The sequence below is a fragment of the Homo sapiens genome, chromosome 6 (genome assembly GCF_000001405.40).
Source record: "Homo sapiens chromosome 6, GRCh38.p14 Primary Assembly".
In the NCBI taxonomy this organism is placed as follows: Eukaryota; Metazoa; Chordata; class Mammalia; order Primates; family Hominidae; genus Homo; species Homo sapiens.
In genome coordinates this window covers 145,778,455-145,793,492 of record NC_000006.12, presented here as the reverse complement: position 1 = coordinate 145,793,492, position 15,038 = coordinate 145,778,455, and the positions used below count along the sequence as shown (strand labels likewise).

The 15,038-nt window shown below is 39.7% G+C and overlaps 2 long non-coding RNA genes across 2 annotated transcripts in view; one reads left to right on the top strand and one right to left on the bottom strand.

The window, feature by feature from the left end:
* EPM2A-DT (EPM2A divergent transcript) overlaps positions 1–15,038 on the bottom strand; it is a 151,717-nt gene that overhangs the window by 93,093 nt on the left and 43,586 nt on the right. The gene's annotated exons all lie outside the window — the stretch shown is intronic.
* LOC124901419 (uncharacterized) lies at positions 7,467–9,732 on the top strand. The gene is made up of 2 exons (XR_007059800.1): positions 7,467–7,903; positions 8,290–9,732. It is a non-coding gene; the product is annotated as an uncharacterized LOC124901419 (long non-coding RNA).

Below are 15,038 nucleotides of genomic sequence, written 5' to 3'. Positions count from 1 at the left end.
GCTTTTGTATTGTCTTGTGGGGAAAAAACTATCTGAATCTTAAGATCGGTAGGAACTCTAATGATCATTTAGCTTCTCATTTTATATTTGGAGAAATTGAAGCTGACGTTATCAATGTGTCATTCATTCAACAAGCATTTACTGAATACTCATGCCAGGTAATGTGTAGGCTTGATTCTGGAAGGTTATTTCATGCTTGAAAGTTTCACAGGTAATTTCTTTTTTTTCTTTTTTCTTTCATCATCTAGTAACTATGCCAGACACATGGACAAATGGATAAGTTTCAGAGGAGGGGAGGCTTTAGGCATAGAATCACTTTTAAGTGGTTCTTCTCATAATTCTTCTCCAAACATCTTAAAGAGATGTTCTTCAGCACAGTAAAGCACACATGATCATAAGTAGTCTGCTACTCAAGGAATGTGTCACTACTTCCATGACTTTGGGAAGGGAGTATTTTTGAATCACCTTAAACCAATTATTTTCCATTGTTCTAAGGAGCCAGCTTCATACCGTTGGTTCAAATCAATCTTTAAAAAAAGTTAAATTGCTTTGCAGATAACAGTGCCTCTCATATAGTTGGGGGTATATATGTGAATTAAAGGGTTTGTATGCTTCAAGTTGAACAACAGTAAGTATAATTAAATGAACTTAACAGAATGAGGTTGATAAGGTAATAAACATAGACAAGTAGCAGTACAGTAGCTTTACTGACACATTGCAAGAGTCCAAAATCAAAGAAAATGAGAAGGTAATAGTTGTGATAATTCACACACTAACACATTTGTTATGATTTTTTACCGTATTCATTTCTTCTTAATATTTTGATACTTCTACAACAGTTAGGACTTCTCACCAAATAGGTTATTTGACCTGAATTTCCTTAATCATCCACCTTCTCTTATTCCATCACTTTGCACTCTACATTTCTGCTGCATTGTATTACTCACTATTTCCCAAACACTTCATATCCTTCAATGTCTGTGAGCCTTTACATATGCTATTTCTTTTGCCTAGAATGTTCTCCCCTAACTTCTTTGTTCATTGGTGAAGATCCAATTCTGATCTCATCTGCTTTTTACCTAGACCATCTCCAACAGATAATCATCTTTTATCTATATTCCCAGTTTGGATTTCATTTATTTTAAAGTCATATCATTTTACAGTATAATCACACTGCACTGCCATTATCTATTTGCTGGTATCTATATACTATAATTATGAGGTCATCTAGGTAGAAACCATATCTTATGTGGCTTTGCATCTCTATTCCTAGCTGAGGGCCTTACAAACAGAAGGTGATATGGTTTGGCTGTGTTCCCACCAAATCTCATCTTGAATTTTAATTCTACAGTTCCTACGTGTGAGAGGGACCTGCTGGGAAGTAATTGAATCATGGGGGCAGGTCTTTCCCATGCTATTCTCATGATAGTGAATAAGTCTCATGAGATCTGATGGTTTTAAAAACGGGTTTCCCTGCATGGGATCCTCTCTTTGCCTGCTGCCATCCATGTGAGATGTGACTTGCTTCTCCTTGCTTTCCACCATGATTGTGAGGCTTCCCCAGCAACATGGAACTGTAACTCCATCAAACCTATTTTTCTTCCCAGTCTCATATATCTTTATCAGTAGCAAGAAAATGGACTAATACAGTAAATTGGTACCAGTAGAGTGAGATGCTGCTGAAAAGATACCCAAAAATGTGTAAGCGACTTTGGAACTGGGTAGCAGGCAGAAGTTGGAAAAGTTTGGAGGGCTCAGAAGAAGACAGGAAAATGTGGGAAAGTTTGGAACTTCCTAGAAACTTGAAGAATGGCTTTGACCAAAATGCTGATAATGATATGGACAATGAAATCCAGGCTGAGCTGGTCTCAGATGGAGATGAGGAACTTGTTGGGAATTGGAGCTAAAGTGACTCGTTATGTTTTAGCAAAGAGACTGGTGGCATTTTGCCCCTGCCCTAAAGATTTGTGGAACTTTGAACTTGAGAGAGATGATTTAGGGTATCTGGTGGAAGAAGTTTCTAAGCAGCAAAGCATTCAAGAGGTGACTTGGGTGCTGTTAAAGGCATTCAGTTTTATAAGGGAAGCAGAGCATAAAAGGTTGGAAAATTTGCAGCCTGATAATGTGATAGAAAAGAAAATCCTATTTTCTGAGGAGAAATTTAAGCTGGCTGCAAAAATTTGGATAAGTAATGAGGAGCTGAATATTAATCCCCAAGACAATGGGGAAAATGTCTGCAGGGCATGTCAGAGGTCTTCACAGCAGCTCCTCCTGTCACAGACCTGGAGGCCTAGAAGGAAAAAATGGTTTCATGGTCTGGGCCCAAGGCCCCCTTGCTCTGTGCAGCCTAAGGACTTGGTGCCTTGCGTCCCAGCCACTCCAGCCATGGCTAAAAGGGGCCAAGGTACAGTTTGAGCCATTGCTTCAGAGAGTGCAAGCCCCAAGGCTTGGCAGCTTCCATGTGGTGCTGAGCCTGCAGGTGCACAGAAGTTGAGAATTGAGGTTTGGAACCTCTGCCTAGATTTCAGAGGATGTACGGAAATGCCTGGATATGCCCAGGCAGAAGAAGTTTGCTGCAGGGACAAAGGCCTCATGGAGAACCTCTGCCAGGGCAGTGCAGAAGGGAAATGTGGGGTCAGAGCCCCCACACAGAGTCCCTACCGAAGCACTGCCTAGTGGAGCTGTGAGAAGAGGGTCACCGTCCTCCAGACCCCAGAATGGTGAATCCACTGACAGCTTGCACTGTGCACCTGGAAAAGCCGTAGACAATGCCAGCCCATGAAAGCAGCCAGGAGAGGGGCTATTCCCTGCAAAGCCACATGGGTGGAGCTGCCCAAGACCATGGGAACCCACTTCTTGCATTGGCATGACCTGGATGTGAGTCATGGAGTCAAAGGAGATCATTTTGGAACTTTAAGACTTGACTGCCCCAATGATTTTGGACTTGCATGGGCCTTTAGCCCTTTGTTTTGGTCAGTTTCTCCCATTTGCAATGAGTGTGTTTATCCAATGTCTGTGCCCCCATTTCATCTAGAAAGTAATTAACTTGCTTTTGATTTTACTGGTTCATAGGTGGAAGGGACTTGCCTTATCTCAGATGAGGCTTTGGACTTTGGCCTTTTGAGTTAAGGCTGAAATGAGCTAAGACTTTGTGGGATGGTTGGGAAGGCATGATTGGTTTTGAAATATGAGGACATGAGATTTGGGAGGGACCAGGAGTGGAATGATATGGATTGGCTTTGTCCTCACTCAAATCTCATCTTTAATTGTAACTCCCACAATTCCCACATGTTGTGGGAGGGACCCAGTGGGAGGTAAACGAATCATGAGGGTGGGTCTTTCCCATGCTATTCTCATGATAGTGAATATGTCTCATGAGATCTGGTGCTTTTAAAAATGGGAGTTTCCTCTCACAAGTTCTCTCTCTTTTCCTGTTGCCATCCATGTAAGATATGACTTGTCCTGCTTGCCTTCTGTCATGATTGTGAGGTTTCCCCAGCCACGTGGAACTGTAATTCCATTAAACCTATTTTTCTTCCCAGTCTCGGGTATGTCTTTATCGGCAGCATGAAAACAGACTAATACAGAAGGCATTCAGTAGAGGTTTGTTAATCTAATAATGAAAAATGATTGAATAGTGTCGTGTCAGTTAGCTTTTGCTGCATAACATGAAATCCTAAAAGTTTGTTGTTTAAGCAACAATATAATTAGCTCATGATTGGTTGGCTCAGCATTTCTGGTTGGCCTGACTTGGCTGTTGTCTTCCTAATTGGCTCACGTCCATGGTCAGCTGATGGGTCGGCTGGAGGTTAGATGATCTAAGATCACCTTACACATCTGGCAGTTGGCAGGCTGTTGGCCAGGGTTATGGGGATGATTACACCATGTGTCTCTCATCATCCATCAGGCTAGCCCAGGCTTATTTACAGGGCAGTAACAAGAATAGCAAGAGTGTAAGCCCCTACGTTCAACCCCTTTCCAAGCCACTGCTCATCACATTTATTAATGTCCCATTTTCCAAAGCAGTCACATGGCCAAACCCAGATTCATGGGGTGGAGAAATAGGCTCTATACCCTTTGATGGAAGGAGCAGCAAAGTCACAGTGCAAATGAGTATGTGTATAGGAATAAGAAGAATCACACCTATTTAAGTGTACCATAAACGTTGAGGAAATTTTCACTTAATCTACCTGAATATTAAAAACTAGAGCCAATTCAAAATCAGAACTATCTTTTGCCTCTTTTTTTCAAACTGTAAAGCTACTGTTTTAGTCAGGGTTATCCAGAACGACAGAACTGATAGGAGATATCTATCTATCTATCTATCTAACTAGAGAAATTGACTCACTCAATTGTGGAAGTTGAGAAGTCCCATGATGGGCCATCTGCAAGCTGGAGAGCCAGGAGATCCAGCAGCCTGGAGGACCAGGATATCCAGTAGCCTGGATCATATTTGAAGACTTCACAACCAAAGAATGGAAGATGATGGTGTAACTCTCAGTATGAGGTCTAAGGCCTGAGAGCCTAGGGGGCTGCCAGTGTGAGTGCAGGAGTCCCAAAGCCAGAGAACCTGGAGATCTGATATCCAAGGGCAGAAGATAAAGGGTGCCCAAGCTCCAGAAGACAGACAGCAAGAATTCACCCTTCCTCCATGTTTTTGTTTTATCCAAGACCGCAGCTGATCAGATGGTGCATACCCACATTGATGGCAGATCATCCCCACTCAGTTCAATGACTAAAATGCCTATCTCCACTGGAAACACCCTCATGGACATACGTAGGGCAGTCCAGTCATTCTAATTGAATGCTAAAACACCTGGGTTTGTTTTCCTTTCAGCAGAAGAGGGATGGGCTTAGTGCCTACTGAAGCACTGAAGATATGTAATGCTATACCACCTATCTGGATATCTCTTAATCCAGTCAAGTTGACACCCAAAATCAACCATCACAAGTTCATCCCTTGTCAACTTAGCACCCATACACATCTCTTTATCATACTTAATCTCTAAATAACAATACAGCTATCTTGTGCAAAATCAAAAACTCACGAATCCTTTCCCCAGAAGAGGAGGTAAAGTTCTTGAATGATATTTACTCCTTTTCTGATATCCGATAACTAAAATTCTGTGATGTAAAATTAACAGTACTTATACTAATACAAGCTCAATACATATTATGTTACATGACAAAGGATAAGAAAGCAATGAAAACAAAGATATTTGCTTCATATATGTGTATATATACAAAAACCTATTCTTAACAAAATAGAGATTGTACAGCCCTTGTTTCTGTAACCGGCCACATGGTTGTAGCTGGTATTTATAACTACCTTGTTCTATTACCCGTTGTGTATTCCCTTTGCCTGCAGTAAGCACCTTAGCTGGTTATTGTTCTTTACCTGATGGAGTAACCCAAATGTCTATTCCTGTAGGATCTCAGCAATTTGCAGCCCTGCCTGGATTGGGTAATTATAAATTCCCACTGACCTTAATCACAGGGTATGGTAGTAATAAGAGCCCCCCCTAGGGATATCTTGTATTCCAGACATACTCGTCCTTACCTCTATTGTAGAATAGCAGTCCGATTTCTCCTTGATAGTCCATATCAGTCACCCCAGCCAACACTGTTACTCCTCTCTTAGCCTGCTGACTCAGAGGCATGAAGAGCCCACAGTGGCCAGATAGCAGTCAACTTCTAGCTCAATGGAATTGTTATGTCTCCTGGTAGAAACATTTATCCCTCTGGAACTAAAACACCCATGCCAGCGGAGCATAAGGTTGTGGGAATAAGAAGCAAAAATTTTGCTAGTGTGTAACTAGGGGTAATGGCGGGTAGTGCCACACCCATTTTCACCCCTTGATTCCTGGATCCATGAATCCTGGCTATGGAAGAAAGAGTACCATATTCCGGGTGTTGATTTGGAGCAACTGTGGTCTGCTGGAGAACACTGCTCCAGTCTTGCAAAGTGTTATCATCTAGCTGGCACTGTAAAAGGCCATTTCACCATTTTATCAAGACAGTTGCTTCAAGGTGATGGAGAACACGATAAGATAATTCGATGAGCATGAGCCCATTGCTGCACTTCTTTCACTATGACATGAGTTTCTTGGTCAGAAGCAATGCTGTATGAGATACTATGACCATGGATAAGAGTGGAAGTGGCACCACAAACCATCACCCTTAGTGATCCACTAGCAAAATTTTTGCTTCCTGTTCCTGTGACATTACATTCTGCTGGCCTAGAGATCTTAGTTTCAAAGGGGAGACGCTGCCACCAGGAGACACAACAATTATTCCATTAAACTGGAAATTAAGATTGCCACCTGGACACTTTGGGTTCCTCCTACCTTTAAGTCAACAGGCTAAGAAGGGAGTTACAGTGTTGGCTGGGGTGATTGACCCAGACTATCAAGATGAAATCAGTCTACCACTCCACAACAGAGGTAAGGAAGAGTATGCATGGAATACAGGAGATCCATTAGGGCATCTCTTAGTATTACCATGCCCTGTGATTAAGGTCAATGGGAAACTCAGTAGCCCAATTAAGGCAGGACTACAAGTGGCCCAGAACCCTCAGGAATGAAGGTTTTGGGTCACCCCACCAGGAAAAAAAAACATGATCTGCTGAGGTGCTTACTGAAGGCAAAGGGAATACAGAATGGGTAGTAGAGAAAGGTAGTCATCAGTACCAGCTATGACCACATGACCAACTTCAGAAACGAGGACTGTAACTACCATGAGGATTTCCTCCTTCTTTTGTTAAAAACATATTTGTGCCTGTATATACTTGTACTAAGAAAATATCTTGTTTTATTTCCTTTTCCTTTATCATATGACATAAGATTTCTTGATTTCATATCAGCATTTAAGTGCTGTTAACTTTATGTGATATTATTTGGGTTGGGGATTGGTACATTTCTGGTTGTACGAAGGATAGTTGTATTATGTTAGGTGTAATTATGACCTTATTATTGTCTTTATTTGAAAATTATGTATGATCTCAGGAGATGTGTATGGGTTCAAGTTGACAAGGGGTGGACTTGTGATGGTTAATACTAAGTGTCAACTTGATTGGATTGAAGGATTCGAAGTATTAATCCTGGGTGTGTCTGTGAGGGTGTTGCCAAAAGAGATTTGAGTCAGTGGGCTGGGGAAGGAAAATCTACTCTTAATCTAGTGGGCACAATCTAATCAGCTGCCAGCAAATATAAAGCAGGCAGAATAACATGAAAAGAGTGAGACTGGCCTAGCCTCCCAGCCTATATCTTTCTCCCATACTGGATGCTTCCTGCCCTCAAACATCGGACTCCAAGTTCTTCAGTTGTGAGACTCAGACTGGCTCTCCTTGCTTCTCAAGCTTGCAGACAGCCTATTGTGGGACATTGTGATCGTGTAAGTTAATAATAAACTCCCCTTAGTGTGTGTGTGTGTGTGTGTGTGTGTGTGTGTGTGTGTATACATACATATATAAAGTAATACAAATAAATATAATAGGATATATATATATATATAAGCATTCTGTAAGTCCACAGATGATACTTTTAACAGAATATTGCATGCAGAGAAGACAAATACATACCTTGAGTAAGTGTCTATTAGGTCTAATGTAATCAACCTGCCATGCCACCATATGCTTGGCTAATCATATCAGTGGCTTAGTGTTGGCCTCTGGGGCTGGCAGATTGGGCACCAGCAGTAGCCATGGCCAGGTTGGCCTTTGTGAGTGGAAGTCTGTGTTGCTGATCCTATGCTAACTTCCATTCCTGCCACCATGACCACTTTGTTCATGAATCTGTTGCACAATTACAGAAATGGCTGAGGAAAGAGACTTACTGGTATCTACAGACTGGGTCATCCTATCTACTTGTTTTTTACAATTCTCCTCTACTGAGGTCATCCTTTGGTGAGTATTCACATGGAACACAAATGTCTTTATGTCCTTTGCCCATTTAAAAAGGTGTATCCACATACCTCTTCATCATATTTCTTTTGTCACCGGTTTTTCACCATGTTTCTTCCAAGCCCTTGACCATCCAGCCAAGCTATTGACTACAGCCCATGAATTGGTATATAATCACACATCTGGCCCTTTCTCCTTCCACACAAAGCACACGACCAGGGGCACTGCCCAAAGTTTACCCCACTAAAAAGATATTCCTTCACCTTTGGACTTTCAGAGATGTCTTAGAAAGGGGCTGTAGAGCTGCAGCTAGCTGTCTACTGTCAGTAGTACCCACATATTGTTCAGAACTATCTATTAACCAGGCCTGAGTCTTCTCTTCCCATCAGCTGATCATAGCGAACTTCCCATGAGGTTACAGCTACAGGCTGAGAAGAGGAGCCATTGTAGCAAAGCAGAAACCATGGACATTTGTGCCACTTCTTCATGGACCTTACTTGTGCCTTCAGGACCTGCCTGGGTTTGATCATGTATATACCACTTACATTGATGATGAAGTGCTGCTGTGCATGCCTAACTTTATGGCTTGGTGGATCAGAGAACATCCAGTTCATAATAGGGATCTTGGGTCACATGGTAACTTGGTGGCCTGTGGTCAAGCTTTCAGTTTCTACTAAGGCTCAGTAGCAGGCCAAGAGCTGTCTCTCAAAAAGAGAGTAGTTATTTGTGGATGACAGCAGGGCAGTGCTCCAAAATCCTAAAGGCCTTTGTTGCAATTCACCTATGGAGGCCTGCCAAAGGCTGCAAACATTATCCCTATCTGCCACTGACACCTCAAGTACGCTTGGAGCTGCTAGGTCATATGGCCCAAGTGGCAGAGCAGCTTGCACAGCAGCCTAGACCTGTTGTGGAGCCTTCTCCTGCTTTAGACCCTACTCAAAACTAGCAGCTTTTTGAGTTTTTTGGTAAATGAGCTAGAATTTACCAAATGGAATTTCACCCCTGTGGTTTGAATGTCTCCCCTCTAAAATTCAGGTCTTGCCAATTAGATAGTATTAACCCTTTTCCTGTTTAGAATTTTAAAAATGCAGCTCATGGCCAGCACTCATTTAATTTTACTTAAACATGCTCTTTGAGGCTGCAGCAAATCTGACTTGATTTTCCAATGTGAAAATAAAATATAAAAACTGTTCTTGGCTGGCGTTATTTCTAAACAGAACTAATATCAGAATTGATTAGATCATCAGAATCGTCTATTTCAGAAAAATCAGATTCATCAAATGAATCCTTGGCCAACAACTGTCAGAACGATGTTAACATCACATGTAGAAATGCTGCATTTTCTAGGATTTGACATTTTCAGTGAATGCAAATAACTGTATTTTGTAAATGAAAATACCACTACTAAATGTAGAATGCTATAAATAGAATGATGTCTTTTGTTTCCAAAGTCGATATGCTAGAGCAATGCGAAAATAATAATAAGAGTGAAATATTTCATAGCAAAGTTATCTCAGGGTAATTGCTACAGCTGCAAGCACCACCGGTGAGTATTCTCAGCAAACAGGAAAAGGGTTAAGAGGCGGGGCCTTTAAGAGGTGATTTAAGCCATGAGGGCTGCTTCCTCATAAATGGGATTAAGACCTTTTTTTAAAAAAAAAAAAAGCTTTGTCTAGCATTTGACTCACTTAACTCCACCATGTAAAGACACAGCATTTCTCCTTTCTGAAGGATACACCCCTCACCAGACAACCAAATCTGCCTATTTAACCTTGATCTTGGACTTCCTAGCCTCGAGCACTGTGAGAAAATAAATTTATTTTTTGTAAAAATTACCTAGTCTGTGGTATTTTGTTTTAGCAGCACAAAATGGGCTAAGACAGAAATTGGTACTGATAAATGGGGGTGTTCCTATAACAAATACCTGAAAATGTAGAAGTGACTTTGAAATTAGGTAATAGGCAGAGGCTGATACAGTTGGTAGGGGCAGGCTAGAAAAAGCCTATATTGCCATGAGTGGGGCGAAAGGGTGATTCTGGTAAAGGGTTAAAAGAAAAGGAGAGCTGCAGAGAGGACCTTATACTTCTTATAGATTACTTAAGTGGCTGTGAACAGAATGTTGGTAGAAATACAGTGAAGACTACTCTGCCATTTCAGATGCAGATGAAGAACAAGGTATTGGAAACAGGAGGAAAGGCCATCCTTGTAATAAAGTGGCAAAGAACTTGGTTGAGTTGTGTCTGTATCTTAGGACTCTGTGGAAGTTAGAACTTAAGAGTGATAAACTAGAATATTTGATGGAAAAAAATTGCTAAGCAGAAAAGTGTTGAGGGTACTGCATGGCTTCTCTTAACTGCTTTAGTAAAGTGCAAGGAGACAGAAACAATTTGAAGATGGAAATATATAAATATAATCCAAAAACAAAACAAAATGTAAAGATTTAGAAACTTTTAGGCTGCCCATGCAAAGAATACAAAAATCAAGTTTAGGAGAGAAAACAATGGGTGTGTCCAAGAAACCATTGGTAAGATTCATGTGGATAGAGGGAAGCCAGGAGGTATTCATCAAAACAACGGTAGAATGACTCTGAAGCCATTTCAGAGATCTAGGCTGCCACATCCATCATAGGTCCAGAGCGCCAAAGTCTTGAGGTCATAATGGTTTTGAAAGAGAGGCCCAGGGCTCTTGTGGGATGTTGGGGAAAAGTCTTCATCTCTCCTTCATGTTTGAAGTTTGGCTTTGCTAAGTACAGTATTCTTGGCTGAGAGATTTTTTTTTTTAATATGTCAATTTTACTCTCTCCTGGCCTTCAGGGTTTCTGCTGAGAAATCCACTGAAAGCTGCACTAGGGCTCCATTGAATGTGATTTTTTGTTTTCCTTTTGCTGCTTTGAGTATCCTTTCTTGGTCTTTGATTTTTGATAATTTGATTATGATGTACTTTGGGAAATATCTCTTTGGGTTAAATTTTATTGGTGATCTCTGAGTTTCCTGTACCTGGATGCTACCATCTTTTTTCAGATTTGGAAAGTTCTTAGCCATTGTTTCCTTAAGTATACTTTCTAGGCCTTTTTCTCTCTCATCCCTTTTAGGAACTCACAGTATGCAGAGGTTAATTCACTTGACATTGTCCCATAATTCTCATAGGCCTCCTTCACTCTTTTAAAATTACTTTTACTTTTTTCTCATCTGATTGGGTAATTTCATGTTATGTCTTTGAACTCACTGAATTTTTCCTGTTTTATCAACTCTGCAGTTGAAACTTTCCAATGAGTTTTTTAAATTTCAGTTATTGTATTCTTTACTTCTACTTGGTTTTCAAAAATTGTTTCTATTTCTTTATCAAATTTCTAATTTTGTCTCTGGATTGTTTTCCAAATTTCATTCAGTTTCTATCTGTATCTTTTTGTGATTCCCTGAACATTTAAAAGATTATTCTGAATTTTTTATCAGACATCTTCTAGATATTTTGTTTTTGGGAGTTCATTACTGGAACATTGCTGGTTTCTTTTGGTGATTTCAGATTTCCATGAGTTTTTACAATCCTTGTTTCTTTATGTTGATGCTTGCACATTTGATGGGGTAGCCAACTCTTCCACTTTTTGTAGGTGTTCTTTGGTGGTATTATACATTTGCTACTTAATATTAGAATGTAATCACTGGCCTACTATTGCTTTCTGACCTGGAGAAGACATATAGTGAGCACTGGAACTTAAACTCTGCACTGAAATTTAAGCACTGCCCTACCATTGTTTCCCAGTTTGGGGAAGACTTAAGGAAGCATTAGACCTATTCACTGACCTTTTAGTTGTTTCAGCTCATCAGAAGGTTTCATGCAAACACCTGGACATTGTGGGAAATCCATCCAGGGATTTGGGCCTTGTTGAGGATTGCACCCCCGCCACACTATGGTGCCAATCAGTCTCCTCAGTGTGGCATCGCCACTGACCAGAGCACATAGCAGCCACCAAGATCCACACGCTAGTTGCTGTAATCAGTACCCTTGCTTTTTGTCCTCAATCCACTCCAGATGGTTCAGCCCAATTGGCACTACCAGTGGTTCCCATGGGACAGGATCAGAGTGGGCTTCCCATGGAGATTCTCAGACTAATGGGGAAATCAAATGCCAACCTCCAGTTCTCTCCTCCAACTTCCAATAAAGTGGATCTGTAAAAATTCTCTGTGAGTGGCATTATGACAGCTTAAAAGGAGATGGTGGAGCAGTCTGAAATAATTGTTCCTCTTACTGGTTTGTTTTTTCTTGATTCTGTGGGCCCAGGGAGTTTCTCTATTTCTCTCCTAAGTTCTGCAAATTCAGGGTAGTATTCTGGTGTTTGAATAATTTCTAATTGTATTTGTGTGTGTTGGGGTGGGGGAAGTGACGCTGGGGGATCTTCTATTTTGCCCTCCTGCTGACATAACTCCCCTATAATCTAGGTAATTATTTTGAAACCTTAATAGCCATCTGTTACTTAGATGTTTAAATATTCAATTACTAGGGCAATGGCTGAGTAGCTTTGTGGGACCAACTGTCTGACAGATAGCAACTATAAAATTAGTGCCAAACATTTAAAGAAAACTGTTTGAAGATACTACAGAGGGTCTTAAACCAGCCATCAAGTGGAGAGAGGTCTACCCTTTAAAAATGTACTGCAAGTGAAATTTGCATGAATCACAGAAAGCCATAGCCTTACTGGCTTAAGTTGTAAAAAGATAGAGTCGAGTCTAGAAGGGGCCAGAAAGTTAAGGAGGAAATGTTGTAAGAGAAGGGACTAGGAAGAATGTAAGCATCAAAATCTATGTATAAAATTTGCCTAAATATTTGACTACCAAACTATGCATGTGCAGGTGACAGCCCATTGAGCCAAGCAAAAACAAACAGCAGCTAGAAGCAGAAAAAAATGAGTAGAGATTTTAGCTACATTCCACAGAAGAAAAAATGGACATTGGAGTTTGACTCAGTGAAGTAAATTGCCCACTAGAACAAAACTCACTTTTCAAAGGAACAAAATGGAATCCAGAGTCATCTTTACAGTTCATAATTCATAATATCTAGTATCCTATAAAATCCACCAGATTTGTGAATAAACAGGAAAAAGTGACCCATGTTCATGAATAAGAGTAGTTAATAGGTATAACCCCAAGGTAATTCAGATGTTATAAATAGCAGACAAGGACTTTGCAACAGCTTAACATAAACATACATTCACATAGATTTTCCATTTGTATGTATCTGTATGTGAGTATATGAAAGTACCATAACTACAATGAAAAATCACTGAATAGTATTAATATTATGGTATGATGTTGTATGAATGCTCTTGAGATGATCTCCAATGATTCCTTTTTCGTAGTATTCACGCTTTTATGTAATCCCCTTCCCTTGAGTGTAGACTGGATCAAGTGACTTGCTTCTCACCAATGGAAGATGACTAGTGATTGTATGTCATTTGATGATTGGGTTCCAAAACATCGTGGCTTCCATCTTGCTATTAGAATCTCTTTCTTGCTTGCCAGTGAGGAACTGGATCTTGCCAAAAACTGTGAAGTGAGCTTAGAAGTCAATGCTTTCCCAGCTGAGTCTTCAGTTGAGATCATAGACTTTGGGTGGACTTCTTGATTTCAGCCGTGTGAGAGAACATCAAGCAGAGGACCCAGATAAACTCTGTCTGAATTCATGACCCACAGAAACTGTGAGATAATAAATGTACATTGCTTTAAGCTGCAAATTTTTAGGGTAATTTGTTTCACAATAATAAATACTAGTGGGAATAATAACCAACTAAAGATGGTAGAAGAAGAAGTCGATAAACTTTAAGAAAGATTATTTATATTATCCCTGTATGAAGAACAGAGAGAAAAAAAGATTGAAGAAAATTAAACAGAGCTTCAGAGATATATGGAATAATATCAAGGAGTCTTATATACATACAATGTTAATTCCAAAAGGGGAAGAGTGAGAGAATGGAGCAGAAAAAAAAGGATATGGAAAATTAGGACCTGAGAACTTCCCTCTGAATTTTAAAGACATCAGTTTTAACATTCAAGGTGTTTAAATGAGTCCCAAGCAGGATCAATTTAATAAAAATTGAAACTAAGCACTTCATAGTTAAACTGCTCAATCTAAAGATAAGACAAAATTTTGAAAGCATCTGAAACAACATATTATATACATAAGCAAAAAGATGTTAATGATGGGTTATTTTTCATGAGAAAATTTAAATAAAAATAAATCATTTGATAGGACACTAAAATGTTATTTTTAAAGATTTGAACAAAAACTATTGTTAATCTATAATTGTGTCTAGCAAACTATTCTTCAAAATGAAGGTAAAATAAAGACATGGAGAAAGCACTGACTAAAATTATTGTTAATATACATATACAATAAGAAATGCTGAAGTTAGTTCCTCAGAATGAAAATAAGTGATGCAAAATGTTAATTTAGAACTATAGAAATGAATGAAGATCACCTAAAATGATAAGTATGTTGGCAAATGTGACGATATAATTTATTCTTCTCTTAATTACTTTAATGACATAATATGTAAAGCAAACCTTTTATGCAGTACCATAGGGTTTATAATGTATTTAAATGTAATATTTATGACAACAATTAAACAAATAATAGGGGTAAGTTGATAACTGGAGCAGTGATGTTCCAATGCTGTCAAATAGAACAATAAAAGATTGTGATAGGCCAGGCACGGTAACTCATGACTGTAATCCCAACACTTTGGGAGGCTGAGGTGGGTGGATAACCTGAGGTCAGGAGTTCGAGTCCAGCCTTGCCAACATGGTGAAACCCCATCTCTACTAAAAATACAAAAATTAGCTGGGCATGGTAGTGGGCACCTGTAATCCCAGCTACTCAGGAGTCTGAGGCAGGAGAATGACTTGCACCCAGGAGGCGGAGGTTGCAGTAAGTCGAAATCATACCATTGCACTTGAGCCTGGGTGACAAGAGCAAGACTCCATTAAAAAAAAAAAAAAAGATTGTGATAAGTTGAAAATGCGACCATTTAAAAAATGCAACACAGATATATAATTACCTTCACTTGCAGATATAATTATTTACATTGAAAATTCTAAGGGATCCTCAAAACAGCTAGGAAAAAGAAGTTAATATAGAACAAATT